General features: G+C 38.3%; 1 protein-coding gene and 1 long non-coding RNA gene across 5 annotated transcripts in view; one reads left to right on the forward strand and one right to left on the reverse strand.

The window, feature by feature from the left end:
* SYNPR-AS1 (SYNPR antisense RNA 1) overlaps positions 1-290 on the reverse strand; it is a 126,456-nt gene extending 126,166 nt beyond the window's left edge. The window contains exon 1 of the long non-coding RNA NR_046677.1: positions 217-290. This is a non-coding gene — a long non-coding RNA (SYNPR antisense RNA 1). The remainder of the gene's footprint in view (positions 1-216) is intronic.
* Positions 1-26,638, forward strand: part of SYNPR (synaptoporin) — a 416,321-nt gene that overhangs the window by 349,158 nt on the left and 40,525 nt on the right. For all 4 annotated transcript variants that reach the window (XM_017005731.1, NM_001130003.2, XM_017005732.3 and 1 more), the window contains one exon: positions 6,782-6,980. In XM_017005731.1, coding sequence (XP_016861220.1) covers positions 6,782-6,980 — 199 coding nt within the window. The remainder of the gene's footprint in view (positions 1-6,781; positions 6,981-26,638) is intronic.

Genomic DNA, 26,638 nt, shown 5'->3' on the forward strand with positions numbered 1-26,638 from the left:
TTCTTTAACCCAATTGAAGCATCAGTGAAATGTTTTAAATGACTCCATTTAAACATTGGTACATATTTTTTTTTAAAAGAAACCACTCTAAAATGGAGGCCTTTCATTGATAGACACAATGCGGTTAAACCCAGTGAAATTCGATTACCTCTTGATTGGGTCGGGCAAGCCAGGAAGAGAATTTTACATTTGAAATCAACAAATTGAATTTGGTACCTTTTGCAGCTTCAGCAATTGCTCGCCGACTAGTTCCTCACAAGATCAGAGGTGGCCCCGTCAACATCCAGGTTCTGTTGAATGACATGCTCTGTTTAGAAAGGTTTTTCCTTGTTTAGATTCTGAATGAATATTTGCTTCCAAAGTTATTACAGCTACAAAACACATGCTGACTATACACTTTCCCCCCAAAATACAAAATATATGAATTTATACATATATATAATTGTTGCTTAAAAGAACTTATATATAATATATAAATAAATATGTATGTATTTATACACATATATGCCTTTTGCTTATAAGAACTTATAAAGTTCTTATATATAAGCTCTTTTAAGCAACAGTTACATATACGTGTGTGTATATATAGATACACAAATATATATACACATATGTATATACACGTGTGTTTGTGTGTGTGTGTGTATATATATATATTTTACCCAGTATGGCTGGTAGGCTAAATATCCAGCTATACATCATCAGTGTTAATAAGGTCTTTTAGTAATTTTTTTTGTCTTATACAGATAAGCACAATTAACAATTTCTTTAAGTCAACATGCTAAGTCAGCAATGGGCAAAATATTGCTATTCGGCTGACTGCATATTTTTAAAAATATTTTATTCTCTCCCTCCCCACTGTCTCCACCACACACAAAGATTGCAGACCTAGTTTGTGCATGTCAGCTGAAGGAACAGGTGCATTGGAGACATGCTGATCCTGGGGTGCAGCCTGGCACCTGGAAACTATCAAGCGCAGATAATTGCAACAGGTGACATGTGTTTTTGTTTTACATATGGTTTATTCTAAGAAGATCTTTCTGATCTTTGTCTCAAGATTAAAGCCAAAATCTATAATTTGGCCACCTGGCCAAGAAGACCCCACAATGGGGGCCCCCAGCTACTTTTCCACCCCATCCTGCACCACCATTCCCTTTCCCACCATCTTCCAGTTTTCCAGGCCACATTTTATTCCCCCATGTGTTACGCCCTTTGCCTATACAGGAGCTTGGTACGTGTTCTTTCCTGTTTTCTAAGCTTTATCGGGACATAATTCACATACCATACAATTTGCCCATTTAAACTGTACAATTCTCCCATCCTCCACCCAGTCCTAAGCAAACACTAACCTGCTTTTGTCTCCATAGATTTACCTATTCTAAACACTTTATAGAAATGGAATCATAGAATATGTGGTCTTTTGTGACTAGCTTCTTTCACTGAGCATAATGTTTTCAAGGCTTATCCATATTGTAGCATGTATCAGTACTTTACTTTTTTGACAAATAATATTCTTTTGTATGAATAAACTACATCTTATTTATTCATTCGTCAGTTAATAGACATTGCAGTTGTTTCTCCTGTTTGGCTATTATGAATAATGCTGCTGTGAACACTCTTGTACAAGATTTTGTGTAGACAAATGTTATCATTTCTCTTGGGTATGTATCTAGGAGTGGAATTGCTGGAATGGAGTCATATGATAACTCTATATTTAACCACCTGAAAAACTGCCAGACTGTTTTCCAAAGTGGCTGCATCATTTTACATTCTCCCCAGCAAACATGAAAGTTCCAATTTCTCTGCATCCTTACCAACACTTATAATTCCAATCTTATACTCTTTCTTTTTATAGCCACCCTAGTGGATGTGAAGTAGTATCTCATTGTGCTTTCTTTCTTAACTTTTCATCTGGGTAATTCCTATTATCTTTAAATCTCCAGCCTAAAAGTCACTTCCATAGGGAATCTTACCTTGGCTACCCCACCCTCAAACTAGCCTCAGATTCCTCTCAGAAAACCCATCCTTTCTCTCTAAACTTTAAGTTCAACATGGACAGGCACCATTCCATCTCTTCTTTATTCCCCACTCTAGCCCCAGCATCTAGCTATTTATTTATTTATTTATTTATTTATTTATTTATTTATTTATTTGAGACGGAGCTTGGCTCTTGTTGTCCAGGCTGAGGTGCAATGGCCTGGTTTTGGCTCGCTGCAACCTCTGCCTCCCGGGTTCAAGTGATTCTCCTGCCTCAGCCTCCCGAGTAGCTGGGATTACAGGTGCCCGCCACCATGTCTGGCTAATTTTTGTATTTTTAATAGAGACGAGGTTTCACCATGTTGGTCAGGCTGGTCTCGAACTCCTGACCTCAGGCAGTCTGCCTGCCTCGGCCTCCCAAAGTGCTGTGATTACAGGCATGAGCCACCGCACCCGGCCGCATCTGGCTATTATGTGAACTATAAAGTTGTTGAAAGTGTATTAAGTCAATGCCACTTTTTTTAAATAATGAGAAAAAGTGTGTATTATCTGAAAATCACCTGTGTCAGAATAATTGACATGATTACCTTTAAATCCATTTCATTTTTCAGTATTTCTACAGACAAAACTATTGAGGAAGATTCTAATATCACTGGCAAGGGTAGGAAAGGGGCTCTATGATATAACCATAATGAATGCTTCTGTTGTCCTGAATTTTGTTGGAGCTGTACACATTTATGTTTGTTAAGAAAAAGGATTTTTGTGGGAAAGTGCAATATATACAAGCAAAAACAAATGGACTTGAGAAATAAGGAACTTAAGGGGACTGGATTTTCCTGCTTTAGCTGTGAGCTAAGCATACCTCTAGAGGTTTCAATTCAGTAGATCTGAGATGGGGCCCAGGAATATGCATTTTAAACATAGTCCCTAGTAATTCTAACGCCAGTGGTCCATGAGCTTCACTTTAAAAATATATATATCCTAGTTAATGTCCTTATTATTTAACATAAACAAGTCAATGTAGAAGTTTAAAAATCAGGCTCTGGAGTTTGATGCAGATTTAAACCCCTGGACTGACATTTACTATGTGGCTTAGAACGAATTACTTAATCTTTCTAAGCCTTAGTTTCTGGCCCATAAGAAATGCCCCAATATGTTAATTCCCATTATTATGTTATTAACATTATTATCTTAATTGGAAGATGATGTGCACAACAAATCTGTTGGTTTTTTTTTCTATTTCAACTTTTATTTTAGATATGGGGGTACATGTGCAGGTGTGTTACATGGGAATATTGCACCCAGGCAGTGAGCATAGCACCCAATAAGTAGCTTTTCAACCCATGTCCTCTTGCCTCCCTACTCTAGTACTCCACAGTGTCTGTTGTTCCCATGTTTACGTCTGTGTGTGCTTCATGTTTAGCTCCCACTGATAAGCAAGAACATGCATATTTGGTTTTCTGCCCCTGCCTTAGTTTGCTTAGGATTATGGCCTCCAACTCCATTCATGTTACTGCAAATGACATAATTTCATTCTTTTTTTATAGCTACATAGTATTCCGTGGGGTATATGTGCCACATTTTCTCTATGTAATCAACCATTGATGGGCACCTGAGTTGATTCTGTGTCTGTGCTATTGTGAGTAGCATGGCCATGAACATGCAAGTGCATGGGTCTTTTTGGTATAATGATCTATTTTCCTTTGGGTATATACCCAGTACTGGGATTGCTGGGTCAAAGAGTAGCTCTGTTTTAAGTTATTTGAGAAATCTCCAAAATGCTTTCCATGGTGGCTAAGTGCATAAGTGTTCCCTTTTCTCTGCAGTCTTGTCAGCATCTGTTGGTTTTGACTTTTTAAGAATAGCCACCCTGACTGGTGTGAGATATTATCTCATCATGGTTTTGATTTGCATTTCTCTGATGATTAGTGAAGATGAGTATTTTTTAATATTTTTTTGGCCACTTCTATGTCTTTTTTGTTTGTTTGTTTTGTTTTTTTGAGACGGAGTTTCGCTCTTGTTGCCCAGGCTGGAGTGCAATGGCGCGATCTCGGCTCATCGCAACCTCCGCCTCCTAGGTTCAAGTGATTCTCCTGCCTCAGCCTCCCGAGTAGCTGGGATTACAGGCATGCGCCACCATGCCCGTCTAATTTTATATTTTTAGTAGAGATGGGGTTTCTCCATGTTGGTCAGGCTGGTCTCGATCTCCCAACCTCAGGTGATCCACCCCGTCTTGGCCTCCCAAAGTGCTGGGATTACAGGCGTGAGCCACCATGCCCAGCCCTATGTCTTTTTTTGAGAAGTGTCTACATCTTTTGCTCATTTTTAGTGGGGGCTGTTCATTTCTTGCTTGTTGATTTGTTTAAGTTCTTTATAGGTTATGGATATTAGACCTTTGTCAGATACATAATTTGTGAATATTTTCTCCCGTCCTGTAGGTCTTTTCATAGTTTATTTTCCTGTGCAGAAACTCTTCAGCTTAATTAGGTCCCACTTACCAATTTTTGTTTTTGTTGCATTTGCTTTTGGGGACTTAGCCAAAAATTATTTGCCAAGGCCAATGTTGAGAAGGGCATTTCCTAGGTTTTCTTCCAGGAGTTTGAGGTCTTACATTTATATCTGTAATCCGTCTTGAGTTAATTTTTTTATATGGTGAAAGGTAAGGGTCCAGTTTCATTCTTCTTCATATGGCTAGCCATTTATCCCAGCACCATGTACTGAGTAGGGAGTTCTTTTTCTATTGCTTGTTTTTGTCAGCCTTGTCAAAGATCAGACGGTTATAAGTGTATGGTTTTATTTCTGAGTTTTTTATCCTGTTCCATTGGTCTATGTGTCTGTTTTGTACTAGTACCATGCTGTTTTGGTTGCTCTAGCCTTGTGGTATAGTTTGAAATTGGGTATTGTGATGTCTCCAGCTTTGTTCCTTTTGCTTAAGACTGTTTTGGCTATTCAGGCTCTTTTTTTGGGTTCCATATGAATTTTAGAATAGTTTTTTTTTTAATTCTGTGAAGAATGACATTGGTAGTTTGATAGGAATAGAATTTAATCTGTAAGTTGCTCTGGGCAATAGGGCTATTTTAGTGATACTGATTCTTCCAATCCATGAACATGGAAAGTATTTCCATTTATTTGTGTCATCTCTGATTTCTTTCAGCAGAGTTTTATAGTTCTCCTTGTAGAGATCTTTCACCTCCTTGGTTAGCTGCATTCCTAGGTATTTTATTTTCTTTGTGGCTATGGTAAATGAGATTGTGCTCTTGATTTGACTCTCAGCCTGGACATTATTGGTGTATAGAAATGCTACTGATTTTTGTACCCTGATTTTATATCAAAAACTTACTAAAATTGTTTATCAGTTTTAGTAGGCTTTTAGCAGATTATTTAGAATTTTCTAGACAGAAAATTATATCATCAGTGAAGAGAGATAGTTTGACTTCTTTTCCTATTTGGATGCCTTTTATTTTTTTCACTTGCCTGAGCGCTCTGGCTAGGACATCTAACAGATCCGTTTTAAAGGGATTGAGTTTTGTTTAGTAAGAAAAATACTTCCTAAGTATAAGTTGGAATTTATGAGGTTCGTGAATGGCTTTATCATCACTGTTACTTTTATAGATAATTTTCCAAGTGGCACTTTATGGTCATAAATAAGCCTCAGTCATATCTTTTTGCAAGTGCCTCCCTAATTATCATTTCTGAAGAAAAATTTTGGCCTCTATATTAAATTATAGTTCACGACTTAGTTCCAGTTCACACCCTGAGCTACTATATTGGATATAACACATCTTCCTTAGGTGTTACTTACTGAGCTGAAAGTATTGCCCAAAGCATCTTATTTTGTCTGTATCCAGTAATTTATTGAGCCTGGATGCTATCCTGATAGAGTTTACTCACTAAAATAGAAGTTATAAAAGTTCAATCAAATTATGATCTATCAGTCATCTTACAGAACCAAGAATGTGCATTCATTTATCCAAGTACTATTTACTCAGTGCCTAAAAAATGTCAGGTGTTTGGGATCACAGAAAAAAAGAAAACCAAGATTCCCACTATCATGGAGAAATGATATTCACAGTTGAGTGGTCAGTGGGACTGAAAAAAAAAGTAATCAAATTCATTACCAAGACAGCTTTATCTGCTAATGAGTGCTACGAATGACATTAAATAGAGTGATGTAATAGCAAATGCCTAAAGGAAAGGAGCTCCTTTTGATTAATGGCAGGAAAAGGCTCTCATCTCTCAGGAGATGTTGAGCTGATGTCTGAATGCCAAGGAGGCAGCCATGGGAAATGTCAGGGGGCAGAGTGATTTAGGAAAAGAGAACAGTCAACAACAAGACCTGGAGACAGGACCATGTTTGTCATAACTGAGAAACAGAAAGCAGGCCAATGTAGTTGAAACAGGGTGATGGAGGACAGAGCAGCAGGGGAGGAGTCTGGAGATACAGTTAGGGGCACCAAGGTAAGGCCTGGCGAGCCCTGTTAAAGAGAGGAAGCACTGAAGAATTTCAGCAGGGGGATGTCGTTGTCTAATTTATCATGATTTCAGGTTCCCTTTCCCCTTCCTTCCTCCTCTCTACCTAAGGGTGACTAGCTGTTATGATAACCAGTTGAATGATGATTAGCTGCAATATTGATTTCCACATTTCTAGCTATAATGTCTGTAAATTTCTTAATGAATATGTTACATAGGCATGCACTAAAACTCCCAGATCACATCCCATTTTGCTTTAGAAGATGTAGACACAAGTCATGTATTTTTGTCTCCATTGCATTTAAAGAATGTCTCCTTAAATCTGGCAATTTAGGTTGCACCAGGTGACGTTTGAGGTGCCCACCTGCGAGGGAAAGGAACGGCAGAAGCTGGCATTGATTGGTGACTCCTCGTCTTCAGCAGAGTTCTTCGTCACTGTTGCTGTCTTCGCCTTCCTCTACTCTTTGGCTGCCACTGTCGTTTACATTTTCTTCCAGAACAAATACCGGGAAAACAACCGGGGCCCACTCATTGTAAGTGGTTTTCTTTTTCAAATAACTTTTTCTGTTCCTTCTAATTTCTTTTACTAATGCTTGAAGGACTTTGGAGTTACCTGAGCCCTCGGGTTAGGTGTTTGAAAGGAAATCACATTCTTTTTTATCCAAATCTCTCGAAGCCACAACAAAAACTGATGTCTGTCAATCTCTTGTGCTCCTGGGCTGGGAAAGTATCACCCAACTTGCTAGAAACCCCTCTGAAATAAATGATTAGAAATCTCATGAGATCAAGGAAAGAGCAGTGAAGCTTGCTGTAGATTTATTTATAATTCCAGCATTGTGGAGTTATATTATAGGATGATCATATATTAATAATTGTTTAGTTTGAAAATGGAGTTCTTCATCTCTGTATATCTATCTATCTATGTCTTTTTCCTACCAATTCCTTACCCTACACCTCACTTTCTGTTGCCTCGTACAATGGTCCAAGGACTCATATGAGTGAAATCAATATAGCCCAGCATTTCTAAACATAAACACACATACACCTAGGGGGACACAAAACCTCTAAGAGGGTACCTAGGCATAGATAATTTTAAGGAAATAATTTTAAATTTCACCCTTTACATGTGCATTTGCCCAAACTCTATCTTCCCGAGAATGCCCTGTATCTAAAATATTTTACTGTCATCTTTCTTAATCAACTACTCCCATTTTAGAAAAGAAAAGTATCCTTATTTACCAACTCAAGTCTTACTACACAGTACATTTACAGAATATAAAACATTTGGGACACTGAAAAGGGGACCATTGAAATATTGGTGCTGGTGTTGACAAAAGTGATTCTGATGCCTGACTAATATACTTTTTTGGATATAAGGAGGTTTACTATTTTTTGGCTTTCAATAAAATTAAAAACTCTAATATGCTTATCAGTTGATTGATCATTAAAAAATAATTTTCGGTGACATGTTACTATGCGATGTGGGACATATAACTCAAAAAGAAAGTCATAAATGGTATTGCTATAACAAAACTCCATTTGTTTTCATTTATGCAAGCAAGCTTTCTCAGCATTTACATCTAAAAAAGGAAAAATGGAAATGAAATTTATGCTGAATCATGTACTATTCTATAAATAAATAATGTTTATCAAAAAAAGTATATATTAACTGCTATGGTTTGAATACAGTTTATCCCCCACCAAAACTCATGTTGAAAGTTGGTCTTCAATGTGGCAGTGTTAGGAGGCAGTGCTTTTTAAAGCTGGTTAGATAACTAAGATGAGTTAATGTCTTTCTTGAGAGACTGCATTAGTTCTCATAAGACTGTATTAGTTCTTGTGAGAGCAGGTTGTTATAAATTGAGTCAGCCTCTTTTGTCTTCTATCCCTTTTCCCACATACCCAGTTCCTCTTTCATTTCTCTGCTATGTTTTGACACAGCACAAGGCCCTCACCACAAGCCACCAGATGTGGCTGTCCAATCTTAAACTTCCCAGCCTGTAGACTATGTGCTAAATAAACCTCTTTTCTTTATAAATTACCCAGTCTCAGGTATTGTGTTATAGCCATACAAAATGGACTAACACAGCCTATTCATCTAAGAATTGTAAATTTTCAATAAAATTTTTACTTTTTGTTTTATTTTATTGAGGCAGAGTCTCATGCCACCACCCAGGCTGGCATGCAGTGGCGTAATCACAGCTCACTCCACCTCCTAGGCTCAGATGATCCTCCCACCTCAGCCTCCCAAGTAGCTGGGACAACAGGTGCATGCCACCACACCCAGCTAGTTTTTGTGTTTTTTGCAGAGACAAGGTTTCATCATATTTTTTGCAGAGACAGGGTCTCAAACTTCTGGACTCAGGTTATCCTCCCGCCTCGGCCTCCCAAAGTGCTGAGATTACAGGCATAAGCCACTCTACCTGGCTATTTTTAAAATTTAATAATTACATATTAAGTTTATAACATATTTTTGTTGTTTTGAAAAATTATGCATTAATAATACTTGTAGTGATCACTCAACCCAAAAGAAATGTAATACTTAAAGTCTTAGGATCACAAATAATTAAACAGTTAATTTAAATGTGTATAAATATTTTTGTTGCAAAAAATATATAATAGGGTAATTAATAATATGCTTTCCAGAAAAAAAAAATTATATTGTGCTATAATTCTGTGAGGGAAGTATAATAAAAATACAAATTCAAGGAGAACAAAAGGAAGATGTAAAATTTCTACCTGTTAAATAACTTGTTAATTATAAGATAATATCTGTTCATTATAACAGAATATCAAGTAACTGTTCCATTGATACATTTAAAAATTGATACAATAATTTTATTTTTAAATATCAATACTTTCTTTTTTTTTTTTTTTTTGAGACAGGATCTTACTGTCACCCAGGCTGCTGTGTAGTGGAGCGATCTCGGCTCACTTCAACCTTCACCTCCTGGGTTCAAATGATCTTCCCACCTCAGCCCCCCAAGCTCCCAAGTAGCAGGGACTATAGGCGCACACCACCACACTCAGCTAATTTTTTGTATTTTTTGGTACAGACAGGATTTTACCATGTTGCCCAGGCTGGTCTTGAGCTCCTGGACTCAAGCAATCTAGCAGCCTTGGCCTCCCAAAATGTTGGGATTACAGGCGTGAGCCACCATGCCCAGCCTAATACATTTAATATGCCAGAAATTACTTTATTTGCAACTGTTTGAACTTTCAATAAAAACAAAATTAGATGCCAACTTTATACAAGTAGGGACATAGTTTTTAAAAATTATTTTAGGGAGTATGTGAGTAAAATAAATTTCACAAATCCCTATTATAGAGATCTGAACCTTAAAACAATAAATTTTGAAGGATAACTGGGAGAATTCTCTGTTTTTAGAAATTTGTTAAGTTTGAAAGGACTAGAAAATGTTCAGGTGTGCAACACTTTAATATGTTAACTTAAAAAAAGAGTAACAAAACAGAATTTGAAACTTTGGGCAAGTGTTTTTTTTTTTTTCTATCTCAAATTTCAGTTAATAGTCTAAATGATTTCAAAATATCTTTAACAGAGTCACCAAACTTGGGCTTATCCCCACCATGATGTACAGATGGACATACCTAAGAGATTGTAATGCATATACCATAAATCCAGCATGCATGTTTATTTCTGGATCCATGTAAACATGCTCACAGGACTTTTAAGCCTGAGGAAATATCCTGACTTCTAAACAGAAAAAGTTGATACAGCTAATCCACACATAAAGTGGGAAAAAAACTATTTCGTTATATAAAACCACATTCTACTCATATAAAATGATCTTGTAAAGGCATGCTGCTTTATCTCTGTGTAAACAGTCTTTCCCATCAAGCAAGATATGATGAAATCCTGAATTGTATAATACAATGGTAGGTTTTGTTTCATTATGTCGTGGGAGGAAGGAACAGAGAGAGATAATTCTAGTAATCAAAAAAGAAAAGTCTCCTAGATGAAACTTCTTTAATATTAAAAAACTGAAGTGCTCATTACTTGGCAGATAAAGTTAATTTAAAGATGAGCCTGAATCATAGGAGTCACAGAGGCAGATTGCATGTAGATCAGCAGGATGCCATTATAACTGCAAAGAGCAAACCACATCGATTCAAATCCCACCATGATGAAGCTGTGATTGGGGAAGTAAGGGGTGCTATGACACCATTTGTGAAGAGCAGGTTTAAGCGAATTCACAGTAGGAGCAAGGTCTCAAGAGGGTAGTGCCTACTTAAGAAAACTTTCAAATACTAGAAAAGCATTTGTTCAAGTGTTCACAATAATTTTGCTTGTTTAAAACCCATCCTCTTTATTCACAAAGATGGCTACTGTATTAGTCCATTCTCACACTGCTTTAAAGAATGGCCTGAGATTAGGTAATTTCTAAAGAAAAGAGGTTTAATTAACTCACAGTTCCGTATGGCTGGGGAGGCCTCAGGAAATTTACGATCATGGTGGAAGGCACCTCTTCATAGGGCAGACAAAGAGAGAAGAAGTGAGCAAGTGAGGAACTACCAAACACTTATAAAACCGTCAGATCTCATGAGAACTCACTCACTATCATGAGAACAGCAGGGGGGGAACCACCCCCATGATCCAATCACCTCCCACCAGGTCTCTCCCTCAAGACCTGGGGATTACAATTCAAGATGAGATTTGGGTGGGGACACAAAGCCTAACCATATCAACTACTGATCATTATTTGGGCAACTTCATTTTGGTTGCCATCTATTTTTTGTCATTATTTTGTTTCTAACCAAACACACACTTTAAAAAAAATTTATGTAATTTGTGATTCTTCAAGTCAAACTTTGAACATGAAACTACAAAATTGCTGTATCAGGTGAACATAAACTAATTCAAGCAGTTTAAGAAATCCGATACCCTTCCAAGGTAGTTCACATCCAAAAAATTAACAAATTTTCATCTCAATTTATAGTCCTCTGGGACATGACATTATACATCCTGCACAAATAAAGTTAATGTTGTAGGGAAGTGACAAGGACGATAATAACAATAACATCAACCGATATTGATTGGGTTTCTACTATGTGATGAGCTAATTTAATACTCAAGACAACCCTAGTTTATATTATTATTCACATTTATAGATGAGAGAAGGGAAGCTTAGAGCAGTTACCAACTCTCTCTCCCTGGTTGCATCACTTATAGGCAGAAGGTTCAGAGTGTGGGTTGAAATCCAGAGCTCAATTCATAATCACCATGCAAGAGGCCCAAGATCCTGATAGCCAATGTGCTACAGAAGTTAGAGAGGTGGAGATAGGTAAGACAAATTGGTATTGTTTTACTCTAGAAGCAAATAAATCAAGCTCATAATCCCTAGGCTCTTTTGCTCATTTGACTGTCATAGAGGATTTTATTTTATTTGCCTCCAGAATCCATCTGGAGATATGGAATGACAGCCATGCATCTGTCGTACTAGAACTACTAGAGGGTTCTGCTTCTAAGTGCCATTTATCTGACTTGCAAATAGAAGATACCAATGAGAGAAAACAAATTTTAAAATGGCCAGGATAAATGTGTATTGTGAATCACAGATTACCAGGATTTGTTCCTATGCATTTCCAAGCAGTTGTGAGCAATTTCAGACAGACTTGAGCCAAGTTTATCAATGGCTACTGAAAAAATTTTTTCTACTGAATATGTATGACAAGATTGCCCACCTTTAAGTAAAAATGAGAATCTGAATGCCTTTAGAAGTAACACAATTGTTAATGATGCTGAATGATATAATAGTTAGAAAATTGGGCCAAAGAAATCAGCCAGCTACTGTATGTCACTACAGTAAGTGTCTTCATGTACAGATAAATAAATATCAGCTCTCAGAAAGCAGAAATGTCCGTGTGAATGGTGCATAATTGTGAAATTGAAATGTCATATCAGGTTATATCATTTTGTCATGTTCCTTATAGTTTTAAAAGCCAATCTCCTGCCTAGGTTACTGTGACAGGATGTTCTGAGCCATTTTCAGATCTCAAGTCAAATAATGAGGATTTAGTTTTCTTCCAATATTAATGTAAAGCAGATTTTTAAAAGCAACTTATCTTACAAGACTGACAGAATGCTTGAATGCTCTAAGAATGAGTACATTAATAAATACCATCTCATGTTTCAGTGAATCTGTATTGCAAGACGTTTGGCTTAAAATAACTTCTCTGGGAATTAGGAAGAAGCTTGATATCCACCTTAAGATTTTGTGTAAAAGACAGAGGCTATGTTATTCAAACTCTCCTCCCATAAAGGAGACCAGGTTGACCCAAGGCAGTTTATGGGACCAGGAGTGTTTACTGATGGCAGGCAAACAGTGGTATCACGGCTCACCTTGGTTTCATGACCAGTGCCTTCCAAATATTTTCCTATTTCCCCATCTAGCCTCAAAACAATCCTGGGAGAGACGTAGTGCAATGAGAATTAACCCTATTCTACAGATTCAATTTAATTCCTCTTTAGTGAGCGCTAGACATTGGAAAATAAGTCCAGGATATTAGAAACCTTGCTTGTATCAGAGAAGAAGTTAATAGCAGAACAAAGACACAAACTCTTAGTCCAGTGATCTTCAGGGTAGTGGCTAATTTATGGGGTGCTGGATTTTAATCTTCTTGTGTGAAATATTATTTAACAGGTGGAAGCTGTTACTTCACGTATAGAATAGTGTTAATAATAATGTGCACATCACATGAGTGCAGTAAGGAAAGGAAGAGTTAATGCCTGAAAAGCACTTTACACAGGGAAAGGCACACAGTAAGTGATAAATTAATGGTATCTGATTGTAGCACTATTATTATCATTAATTTTAATTATTCTCCTGTCCATTACTGGGTAGTTCCTTAGTCCCACAAAGGAAAATTGGAGGCACTTTCCTTTGATTGACTGCTGCTTTCACAGTTCTGTCTTCCTCCAGTCCTTCTATCCCATGCACCTTCTTATCCCCAAGTCGCCAAGGATAGAGCTTAACTCAGGACTACTTGTAAGATCACAATTGCTAGGTTGAACCATCCAATTAACCTTTGTGTTTCTTGAATCCCACTCCATTAGATGACTGGGAGGTAGACTTTAAATTTCCCCAAACAAAATAAGGTTTCTTGTTTTGAACTACAGGCTGGGGCCATCACTAAGGGAAGAAAATAACAAAGAGATATGGAGCTGGATGCTCAAATAATCAAATGCTCTTTCCCACCAGCTACACCTTTGTTTGAGTATAATTAGATACAGAAATCAGATTTTGCAGTCTCTGAGCTATACAGAAATTGCTGAGAAAGTGCTCTCTCTTCTCCCCTTCCCTCTCTCCCTCTCCCCAATTCCCCTCTGTCTTCTTCTCCTTTCCTCTTCTCTCCTCTTTTCTCTCCCCATTCTCCTCTCTCCTGTTTATGTCAGTTCCATTTCATGTCTATTTTATTTTAATAGGTAATAAGTGTCTTCAACAGGCCAAGAAACATGTATTTATGGGTGAATTAAAAGCATTTAGTCTGCTGAGGAACATTATTGAATCATTAAATCATTATAACTCTCCTACAAATGGCTTGCTAGGGGTATGTAGACAGGCTTTGGTAACCTAGAGGAGGAGGTGCATAATCTTGCCTAGAAGTGAGGGCATGCCCTTTTCAGGTCTCTGTGCTGTGGACTTGTCATAAAGTATAATAAAAAAATAAAAAATAAAAATAAAAACAAATATTTACTGCTAGAAAACTCCTATAAACTGCATTTTAATAAATACTCTCAAATATGGAAAAAAAAAAAAAAAAGACAACTCGAGAGCATCTTGAGGTTGGTGAGCAAGGCAAATGAAGGACCTTGTTTTTGAAGTTCTACCCCAGGAACAGTGTATTTGATGATAAACATAATATCATTTGAAGCCCCAAAAGTGTGTATGTATGTTGTTAGTCATAGACACACCTATCAGAATCTGACACTGATTTGTGGGGTGGGTGGGGTGTGTGTGTGTCTTTCTTTTTTTTTTTTTTTGAGACAGAGTCTTGCTCTGTCATCCAGCCTGGAGTGCAGTGGCACAGTCGATCTCGGCTCACTGCAACCACTGCCTCCTGGATTCAAGCCATTCTCCTGCCTCAGCCTCCCCAGTAGCTGAGATTACAGGGGTGCACCACCATGCCCAGCTAATTTTTGTATTTTTAGTAGAGACGGGGTTTCACCATGTTGGCCAGGCTGGTCCCAAACTCCTGACCTTGCGATCCACCTGCCTCAGCCTCCCAAAGTGCTGGGATTGCAGGTGTGAGCCACCGTGCCCAGCCGGTGTGTGTGTGTGTGTGTGTGTCTCACCTCCTCACTCTCTGAGATAAGAAGTGTCGATAATGCAAAAATGTATGGACTTCACCTTAAATGAACTCATAATCTAAACCACTATAAATTTTGCATCAAGTACATTTCTCTCAGAATTGGCAGCACAGATGAAGGCAAATACATTAATCCATTCAAAATTTTCCCGGTGTGCTTTCTAGATGTTTTATCGGATCTCACATCCTCAGCTCTTTTTCAGCTTTTTAACGATTAGTGAATTCTTAATTACAATTTAAATGAAGGTTCATTCCCACTGTATTTGGTACCACATTTCTCGAATTAGCTACTTTAATAAAAAGATGAGCTGTAGTTCTGTAGCCTTAATAAAGGCAGTGAACTGCTTAAAGAATTCATGCTTCTTCCAGAGCCCACAGCTTTTCTTGTCCTTTGCTGGAGTCTGTGCCTTTGGTGGGCTGGTGGAAAATGTCTGTCCCAACCCCATCCACGTTTGTCACATTTCCTTACATTCCAGGGAATTCCTCATTCAGTTAGAAAATCAAGATCTTGCAGAAACTTAGCAAAGCCCCAGTGTGTCTTTCCTATATGTTTTCTTTTTCATTTAAAACAAAATGAAATGTGAAATGTTTCTACTCCATAGCCTGGCATACCCAGAGAAAACTTGGCTTCCTTTCTCAGACAGACCAGGGGTTTTCAACTCCTGTCCTATGGAGAGGGAGGAGGGAGGTGACAATTTTGCCCCTGACTCAACCCCCTGCCGCTGTCTTAAGTTTGTCTTGCTACAATAAAATACCTGAGACTGGGTAATTTTTAAAGAACAGAAATTAATCTTCTCACAGTTCTGGAGGCTGGAAAGTCCAAGATCAAGTTTCCAGCAGGTTCTATTGCTTGGTGAGGGCTGCCCTCTGCCTCCAAGATGGTGCGTTGTTGCAGCATCGTCTGGAAGGATGGAATACTGCGTCCTCACGTGGTAGAAGGCAGAAGAGAAACGGAGCAGAACATGTGGGAAGCCTCTTTTAAAAAGGCCTTAATCCCATTCATGAGGGAGGGGCCCTCATGGTCTAATGACCTCTTAAGTGCCCTACTTCTTAATATTATCACATTGACAACACAAGGCTTTTCAAGAGGACAAATTCAAATCCTAGCATTCTGCCCATGACCCCCAATATCCATGTGTTGCCATGTGAGGACACAGCATTCCTCCCTTTCAGAGGATGCTGCAATGAGGCACCATCTTGGAGGTTACCTGTCCTAGAGGCAATTCAGGTCCACTTGACTTTAGCTTAGACGTTGCTTCATTTTTCTCTGAATAATTCTACTTATGGGGAACTCTCTACCTGTCACCGTGTTCATTCCTCTGGGTCCAGGAACCTCACTGCTAGCTTTTGGCTGTCATATTGTCTTCTATCCTCTTGTGTCCCCTCTCTTAGCTACCTCCAACACACACACAAACACACTCTTCAGCCCAACCTAAACATTTCAGCTTCATAGTCTCTTTCCTCTAAGCTCTGCTTTCTGATCTAGCTGACATCCTAGAGAGAAAAATGCTGTCAACCTCATTTCCCTATCCAGTTTTAGATGTTACTCATCAAAGAACTCTTGCGTTTTTCTAGAATACTTCAGGAGCATTTATATTGCTCCTGACTCCATATCTAATTATGGAATTTGAGCCAATTAAATATTTCCTAGCAACTTGGGCACTAGTTTAACTTTTACGGCTACCACAAGTAATTTTGGTAGACTCCCAAAGTGGTAAAGATCTGGGAAAAATGGGAGTAAAAATATTTTACTATTTAAAGAACAACTATCCATAATTATTTTTGCTAATTCATCTTGTATTGATTTTTCCTTGTGTGCCCTCAGATACTGCTGGGTTTTACTTTTTGTTTTTCAATGAAACAAAATTTCATGTTATGTTTCCTTTTTGATGGTGAGGTAAAGCTCTTTTTCAGATTCAAGAATAATGATCATGGCTGTGTAGGCCTCACTGGATCCCAGACCCTCTTACAGTCGCTAGGGACATGAAGTCAAATAAAACCTAGGTCCTAGCCTCAAACTACCTGCTTTATTCCTATTACCCTTGAGGGCAAAATCTGTGATGGGGAGACATTAGCAGGGAGGGGTTATAATTTTGGGCTCTGGACTCAGACTGCCTGGGCCCAAATCTCAGTACCACCATCTACCATCTGTATGACTTTGGACTGATGGTTATAGAACCTCTCTATACTTCTGAGTCTTCATCTATCAAATGAAGAGACTAACGTTTCCTAATTTATAAAGTAGTTGGTCAGAGTAAATGGGTTATTACCCATAAAGCCACTAGAACAACACCAGGCACTCAGCAGGTGCTAACTAATGCAAGCCATTATTTTTATCAGCTTTATGATTATCTACCATCATATCCATACTCTGCTTTCTCTGTAACTGGTGTTGATTAAATCTCATTGGACTGATCAGCTGAAACACAAGTGGATGGGTACACACTCTATTGACTTTCTCATCTTGAGAAATGCTTGGAAGGCTTCTTATTGTCCTGTTTACATCAAATGTTCTTCTATATTATTTTTTGTTCTCTGAGCCTCCCAACTCAGCATAAGCTGCTGTCATTATAGACAAATGCAATCAGCCCTAATGTATAGCTTCACTCTTTTCCCCATCACTCTGTTCCCCTCCCTTCAGCTATCCCACTACCACTCTGGCACTCAGATCTCATGGTTTAGGGAAAGAGGGGAGAGAGCACTACCCCATTAAATCAGCCAACCAGCCTCCAGAGAACAGAAGTTTGAATCTCTCACCAGCTGGCAAGTCTGAAAAAAAGTGGAAGGGTGTAAAGAACACAATAGCGTAACAGGATGAAACTTGGAAATTTGATTGGGGCATCCAGCTGAGAAACTAGTCTCAGACTTTCATCCTCCTATCATTTTTTGAAAGTTGTGAGATCTTCCCCTCCCCATCCCCCAAGATGGCAAACATCCTTACTAGTTGCTGAATTTATTTCCTTGAATCCAGAACAAGCACACACTCACACACACAGCTTTAGCTTCATTGGGGTCTCAGCAGCTTAAGAATGTCTTGCTCTAATACTCACAGTTCATTAGACTTTCAAACAGTTGGCACAAAGTTAGCCCTTTCCGCAGGGGGACATCTTCATTTCCATTGCTGATTAGCAGGATCCTAATCAAAGTTACAGATGCATGCAAAGAAATGCTTCAGAATTTGCCCTGGGAACAGGTAGGAAGAGATAGCAGGTAAAACTGATCTGAATCCCTTATGAGGGACAAGGTTATTGAAAACACTTGAGTGATTGGCCAAGGAGTGATCGCACCTTTGTTCCACCACCTGTCTGAGATCTGCAACTTAGAATGCTCTTCCACGTTGTTCTCAAATATCTAAGAAACATCTAATCAATTTATATGCTATCTCAAGAAATAGACAGCTAAGCTTGAATTGCAATGAGTTTCTTATTTGTGGCCTATTGGCCCACTAGCCAATTGGCTAGTTACCATTATGGGCAGAAAATAATGTAGACTATTGACAATCTAGAAATTGCAAGACTGAAAAAAGTGAAATTATTACCATGGAAAAAAGAACTTAGAAAAAAGTGCAGTTGAGGCTAGGGAAAAGTGAGGTTAAATGCCATTGAGCTGCCACTTACTCCACAGGCCAAGAATTAAATAAAATAGAAGTTATATTGGTTAATTCTCCAAATACCATTAAGGCACTTATTGTTATTCCCATTTTACAGATGTTGAATCCAATTTACAGAGGTTAAGTAATTTAAATAGTGCTGTATATTGAGTGTGATCCAGAGACATGCTCTTCACCACAGTGCTGTATTGCCACCCCATTTTTTACCTGGAAGTGGAGAAAAAAGCCAAGAATATCTATTAGCTTATTGAGCATCTGCTGTGCACAAGACAGGTGGGGGACACAGTAGCAAGACATACACAAGTCCCTTCTTTGGGAGAACCACCCTCTCCCACTTATATAGTCCTGGCGGATGGTCAATCATGGTGCCTCACTTGATACCTATAAGGTCAAGTGACTCAAGCCAGGAATCAAAGTCCCCTCTTGAATTTCTCTATGAAGTGAATTTCTTATTTCTATGGAGTTACTAAGCTAGGTATATGTGGGCCTAGTTGATAGTGACCACATTGCCCATGATGTAGAAGGAGTCTATTTAAAGAATAAAGCTGGGCAGAGACAAGCAGATCCTCAAGGGGAGAGAAAAAGATAGAGGGAGAGAGAAAGGCTTACCAAGAAGAAATTGAGGCCCTGAATTCAGCCACAGCTGAAGCCAGCACATTCTAGACTTTCCGGTTGTCAGTGGCTGAATTTCCTCATGTGATTGCTGGTTTGATTTAGGTTTCTGATACTCGCCAAATAATCCTGACCTAAATAATTTCTATCTCTTCTGTAAAATGTTATAAGCACCTATGCATCAAAATAGTATTAATGGAGATTAAATAACAAATGTCTAGTGTAATGGTTAGGTGTTAAGCAGATGGTAGATGCTTAGTAACAGTTTATTTATCTATTCATAGGACCAAGAAAGAGTAAGACGAAGTAACTCTACTAGTATTTTTATATTCAGTATTATTTAACTCTGTTTCCCTTTGTAATGACTGCATAATATTCCATTATATTGAGATAAAATGAATTATTTCACCAATCTCTTATTGTTGGACTTCGAATTTTACATGGCTTTGAATTTTTCTCTCTCATAAGCAATTAGCCTTGCACTTTACACATATTTTAAATTATTTCCTTAAGATAAAAACCCAGAAGTTGATTATCTTCCTGATTTTGAAGGCAGAAGTTTCTAATTTTTTCCACATTAAATACATCCCTAACCTGTGACCTCTTATCTGAGTGAAAATTTTGAATTCCAACTTTTGACTACACCCCAGGCCCTGAAATCTTATGCTGTTGTAGAAGAGATCTCCCAAAAAAGACCTACAAAGATAATTTTCTTCCCAGAGAATAAAAAAACTAAAATAAAAATAACTTGTTCTAAGGAGCCTGACATTAAAACATTTGCTTTGAAACTTGAGATACTAAGGAAACATCACAAATTAAATTCAAGCTGTGTTTAAGTACGCAGAAGTCAGGCTTTAATTATCAGGGAGAAATCCCCAAGACAGGCATGAATTTGCATAGCCACGCAAGCGTAGGCCCAGTGCTGGGCTCTGCATGCCCTCAGCTTTGGCAGTATCCTTTCTCATTGAGACTCAAAAAGTGAAGTTCAAAACCATTAACAGCTCCTCTGGCCAAAAATGGAAGAAAAAACAAACATACAGAAATCCCATGTGATTTTTTTTTAGCATAATGGAATTCTTTATAAGTTGCATCCTGGGGTATCTGCAATGCCCGCAGTTCTGTATGTGGCAACCCAGCAGATGGTCAGGGAGCAGCAAAAGTGGTAATAGTCTATCCAACTCTGCCTGCTGCAGTCGGCCTTGGGGAGCTTCTAAATAAATCTGGTGGCTCCTTTCAAACCCAAAGTTAAGCCATCTTCCGCAGCTTTCATTGGCTTTGTTTGTTTGTTTGTTTGTTTCACTCATTCTGTAAATAGTTGATTCAAGATTGAAAAAACTAAGACCAAACTACATGGGATTTGTGTTCCTGATTAGAAGATATAGCTGGTAGAAGGCTGATTCTGGGCTTTATGAAACCCTCATGCATTAAGAGTTGGCACACTTAGGGGAACAGGGCGGGTGAGGGGGCCAGGGAAAGGAAAGAATTGATGACATTAGGGCATATTCATGGACACTCCCTGTGGAATGGTCTCCGACCTCCAGTCTTCCATTCTTCCAATCTGTTATTTCAAATAGAGCTGTGTTTACACCATTGTATCTCTGGCTTATAGAAATAAAACGTCTCTCCTCACATCAGCATTCAAGGCCCTCCTAAGCGTTCACATGCTCTTCAGAGCTATCTCCCGTCATCCCCGGTATTCCATGTTTTAGTCAAACTGTACAATTTGCCATTCCCTAATCACACTGTAAAAATTCCTATTCTGCATAGCTACTGAGCTGCTACCTGCCACCTGGAAGGTCCTCCTCCCTTCTCCCTCCCAGCCTATCAAAATTCAACTCATCTTCAAAGACCCATCTCACAGGCTATCTGTTCCACGAAGTATTTCTTCACTACCCATGTCCTTATCCCCAAAGATATGTGATTTCTCCCTCTTCTAAACCTCCCAGCTCTGTGTAAAAATCATTCTTTGTGCAAATCCATTATTACCTTGCACTTTCATTGGATGTGGTTTTGTCTGATCCCCCCTGCTAGATATCAAATATCTGAAGGACAAGGATTATTTCCAACACAGCTATTGTCCCCTAAAGGCAGTATTTAAAATGAAATTAATGATCTTCATCAAGGATAGGGTCTGAGTTTGCTCATCTACTCAACACACATTTGTTGGGTTCCTGAAAATATATATTCTAAGGGAAACATAGAAACATATAAAAGAACCCCCCAAAATATAGACTACGCACTCTCCAACATCTGGGTCTATAATATTGGAGGTACCCATCATGACTGTTACAGTTTAACATCAGGGTTTTGAAAATCACAATAAGCATCAATGTTATCAAGACCACGCCTCATCTCAGAAGAGACTCAGCTTGCTATTTTAAAATGGTGGAGTCTAATTCTTCTCAAATACTCCCTTCCACATGCGTACTAAAATGTATGGGAAATCTACCTAACCATGGGATCTTAAAGTTTTACTGTTGTGCACTTTGTTCTCATTAATCATTTTGTAAGAGGAAAATGAAATTAAAAATAGTATACCTGCTGTCCCTGCAGTCTTTGTTCCTCTCTGAAAAGGTGGAATTTGGCCTTACTTTTGCCTTTCTCTTTAAAATAGGTATTAATCATTGTGTTTTTTCAAGGCAAATTCAAATTTATAAACTTCCAAAACATCCTTTCAGTCACTGGTTACTAACGCTTATCTGTTTTCTGGTTGAGGGAGGTTACTTGATAAATAGGTAATCCGAAAACTAGAGATTTACTCTTGAATAACAGCCAACCTTTTAAAGACTCAGTTATGAATTACCCTCAAAGAGAAGGAAGGAATTAGTAATATTCTGTATTCAAAATTCAGAAAATTTCTAAATGCTCATAAAAAGACAGTATTTCTTTTCTACCACGTGGAATAAAAGAAAGCTAATTCACCCAGACTTTATACTCTTGCTTATATAAAGTAATTTGATTGATATATAATAATTTGATGATACATGAACGTATTCCTAAGGTGCTTAGTGTTAAGTAAAACTAATGAAATTTTTCCAGAAGAAAAAAATTGTCTGGCTGGACAAAGGTGACCCCGCCTAGATCTATGATCCTAGGACAATGCCACCCTTTCAGTTTCCTGCTTAGACATCAGTTTCCTGTCCAGCAAAATGAGCTCGTTGAAGGTAGGACTGGTTTTGCTATCCCTGAAGAACCAGCTCTAAGCAGGACAGAGCCCAACACAGAGCAGACATTCAGTAAGTGCTTATCAAAGGAATGAACTCCAAGCTCCAATGTGTGTGTACATGGCTCTTTAACTAAAATTCAAACCCTCACATCCACTTGACTTTCAGTCCAAAGCAACCATACATCTGTGTGAGTGTTCTTCTTGGGTGTCCTGGGACAGCAAAACAAGTGGCACTTTCAGTTGTGATTTAACTCGAAATCTTTCTAATTGAGTCTTGCTACCTACTAAATCAAATTGTTCCAAAGGCCTCCATTTTCACCAAAATTCCACCTTTAACTGTGCTTTCTTCTCCTTCTCCTCCTCCTCCTCCTCCTTCCTCTTCTTATTCTTATTCTTCTTCTTTTTGTATGCTCTCTGAACTATCTCTTTTGCTATGAGATTATTCAAAGTCTTCTGTCCTGTCTAAAGCATTGTTCTTGCAACAAGGATCCAACACCTGCTGACTCTGAGTAAGGCATTATGCTAGGTATAGTCGCCTAAGCCTGAGTCTCTCTATCCTCGCTTGCCCTCTCATTTTAAAGTTTATCTCTCCAAAACAGAAATACTTTCCCTTCCCAAAGCTCTTGAATTAGGGAAAGAGGTCAGAAATTAAATGCTGTCTCATCACTCTTGTTTAGAAGTATAGAATCTTTATTGGTTTGTGAAAGTGGAAAATAATAACTCTTTTTGCCATTTAAAATTGAACAACAGCTAAGTAGAAGTGACAGGATAGATTTAAATTAGAAAGGTTCTATTAAATCAACCGAAGTCAAAGCCGATTTCACTCCAGGAACTGTATGCATAAAAAGGTGTAATTATGAAAACTTGATATTCTGCTACTTTATGCATATTCACTTTATGAACTTAGACCTCCAGAAGCCTCCTAGACTGCTTTCTCATTTTTAATAAGTATTAGAATAAGGCATGCCCTGATGGGATTAAAGGAGGGAGGAGGTTTGTGTGTGTGTGTGTGATTTTTTTCCTCCCTTAGTTTAGCAGTAATATTAAGACAAAAATGTAGCTATTCTGCTGGGTTTTGTGTGTGTTTTAAGAGTGTTGCAAATAAAATGAACCTCAGGGAGTCAGCAAAGAAATTATAGTTTTCCAATTAGGGGGACAACGGATCCATCAGGGAAAATATCTTATTAATTGCAGCTTCTAAAGAACATGAATGAGTCTCTCTGAAGTCACTGAGAATATTTATCTTTGTAAAAGGAGAGAATTTCAGAGAATTACCAGAAGATTTAGTAATCTAAAACCCAGGGCTATCAGTTGGGTCATGTTTCCATCAACAGAACATCATAGTGGACAACGCAGGTGAAGGGACAATTGAGAATTAGCTCAAACTGAGCAGCTAACTTGCACCTGTCCATTCTACATGGGAGCCAACCTCAGAACATTGTGAGGTTTCATCACACTCAAGATAAGAAGTCTATTAAGGAAAGATGTCAAGACCGTTAAGAGGCTGATTTTTGTACTCCATTTTCTCCCATCTCCAAAATAAATATTAATGCTGCGGCCCCTCAATTTCTTGAAGCTTTAAGGATATAATACTAGAGTGAAAGGGATCAGAATGAATGCTGGGAGCAGCTTTGAAGTCATCATCACTTTCTACGTCCTCCCTCTGTTTTATCAGTGGAAGCCTAGAGAAGTTATCAATTGCCAAAGTCACACAGTTGGTTCACTGAACCCTTCATTATTTCTCAGGATGTCCAAGAAACACCATCATGTAGTTCAGGTCCATCTTGCCAGTTAGTTCTGCCATCTCATTGTTCTATGTCAACCTGGTTCAGGACAGAGGATGTGTGAAAGGAATGTGTGGGTTGTGTTGTGAATTTTCTTGTCATCATTTACATAAATACAAAAGCCAACTTGGGGACAGGATGCCGCCGCCAAATTGAGTCAGATTTAATGAGCTTTTGCAAAGAATATTTATTTCTAAGACATTCTAAATTTCAAGCTACCAGGTGGGCCCACTGGTGGGTAAAAGCCATTAGCTGAATGTCAGGGCTTCTTTTCCACCCTTAGAATCTGGACTCTTTTCTTTCCCTGCTGTGGATGATGGAATCTAAAATATTTATGTGGCTTTATAATGACTATTTAACATTTACAGGCACCTGGTATTTGCCAAAATGCTTGACAGTCAGTGTTTACTAACAGGAAAGTAACTACTAGAAAATCTGCCCTGTAATATTTGGGGAGCAAGTCCCTTTGAAGCTAGAGAGAGTGTTTTGGGGAACAATATTCAGGCCAATGATACAGAGTGAAATTTATTTCCCACATTTTGCCTGTGGCCTCACATTTAAACTTTCCCATAGTTTACTAAACTTCATTCCAAAAATCCTGACAGGTAGCGTGATTACTATGTGTTGCATTTATTCATCAAGCATTTAGTAAGCATCAACTAGATGTTGAGGATGAAGGATTAATAAAACTCCACCCAAGTATGGGTTAAGTGCTCTTCCCATGATGCCTTGTGTCTAGCCATAAGAGAATGAGTAATTCTCAGTGGTGAAGTGGGGGCAAAGTGAGGAGAAGTGGAATCTGGCAATGGGATACTGCTAAACATCCCATGAGGCAAAGGATACTCTAAAACAACAATGAATTATCTGGTCCAAAATGTCAATAGTGCCGAGGTGGGAAAACCATACTGTAAGCCCATCTTTCTGGTTTATACTTGTTGGTTACATATCAGCCTCTACCACCATATCATAAGATCTTTGAGTGCAGAGATCTTATCTTATTCTTCACTGTATCCCAGCACACAACACATATACAGAACTCAATACATAGTGTTGAATGAATTAATGAAGGTGGTGTCCTATCCCTCAGGGAACCCACAATCTCAGGGGTAGAGATAGATAGATAAGCAGGCAATTTAAGGATAAAATGTGTTCAGTCTTCAAAGTACAGTCAGATAAAAGCTATTTTTCTGTGACTTTATAATTTATCATCCAAGTAGATAAATTTTTGAAAGTGTGGGCGAGCACTTTCAAATAATTAAGTCAGGGCCATGAGTGAATCCCTGTAACAGGCCTCTCCCACATACACATGACTGTGTATGTGCCACATAAGGGCACACACACAGTCAAACCTACCTATATAGCCCACATGTTCCTAAGCACCCGCATTGAAGCAGGTGCAAGCACTTCACAGAATCCACCCCCACAAGCATGAGCTGAGTATTAGATGTATAGCAGAGTTAACAGGACCCAGAAAAGTTGACATTGCGTGTTACACAGCAAAAAGTTAATGAAAAGAAATAAATAGAAGCTTATTAAATGACTTGTTCTTTATTCCAGGCCCTCGTTTCATACCCACCCTCTGCCAACAGCAATTTTCTCCTCTGCTTCTTGAACCTCTTCCTACCAGCCTCTCTGGCCTTCCAGATTTTTCTTCTTCCATGATCCCCTGTTCCTCTTTCTCATCATAAAGATGTGGCACACTCTCAGCTCCTATTCCCACATCCATTAGCCCCCCTCAGTCACCAAGGGGTCTCCCTGCTTAGGAACCAATTAGAGATTGTAAATAAAAATAACTTTTCCCAGATACGCTTCTCATGGCTCCAAGCTGTAGTGAAGGTTTCTTCAATGCAGTGGCTGGGATTGTGGGGAAAAGCTTTATAGAGAAAATAATATTCCAACAGACTCTGCTTACTCAGAGAAAATGTCAGTTTACTCAAAGGAAATTTAATCAAAAAAACATGGAAAATCACAAAAGGTCTGGACCTCATGTTTTCTCAGTGGATAGAAAGAGTTGCCTTCACCAGGAGCATACTTTGTTAGGGGTCGGAAACAAAGATCTCAAGTGGAAACTTGCGAAAGGGTGAAGTGAATAAGAAGAGTGTGGTTTATGGCTTTTCCAAGCCTACACACTTTGGAAGAAAGATACTGAGGCTTCACATTAACTTTTTCCTTTTATGCTAAACTCTATTTCAGTAAAAACTAAACCAACTGTTTATAATCTTTAATGCAGTTATTGTGCAAATAAACATTTCTTCATGATCCAAGTGTCATTTTTTTATTATGAGCAAATACTAGAGACAATAAAGTTACTATCTTTAACTTTAGGTAGAATAACTTCCTTCATTTTGTAGTCCCTTCTGACACTACAGCTACAAAGAAATCCCCAAATGACACTGTAATATACTGTGCTTTCTTTTACTAGATTTTAAAAAGACCCTCCTTGACACAAGATCAGCAGCGTCCATCATCCCTGTATAGCCTTTGAGATTTCACAACTTTGTATGTGAGGTTGATATCAAGTTAACCTGTCAGAATAAAATGTTACTTGGTATTTAACATATTCTATTCCAATTGGCTTCCTCTGAGTACGTGAAACAAATACCAAATGATAATTTATATGAGCACAAGAGAATTGTTGCTAATTTTAGAAAGTTCCTAGCCATTTCCCTCACCCAAAGTTAGCAAAGGAAT

The sequence above is a fragment of the Homo sapiens genome, chromosome 3, assembly GCF_000001405.40.
Source record: "Homo sapiens chromosome 3, GRCh38.p14 Primary Assembly".
Lineage (NCBI taxonomy): Eukaryota > Metazoa > Chordata > Mammalia > Primates > Hominidae > Homo > Homo sapiens.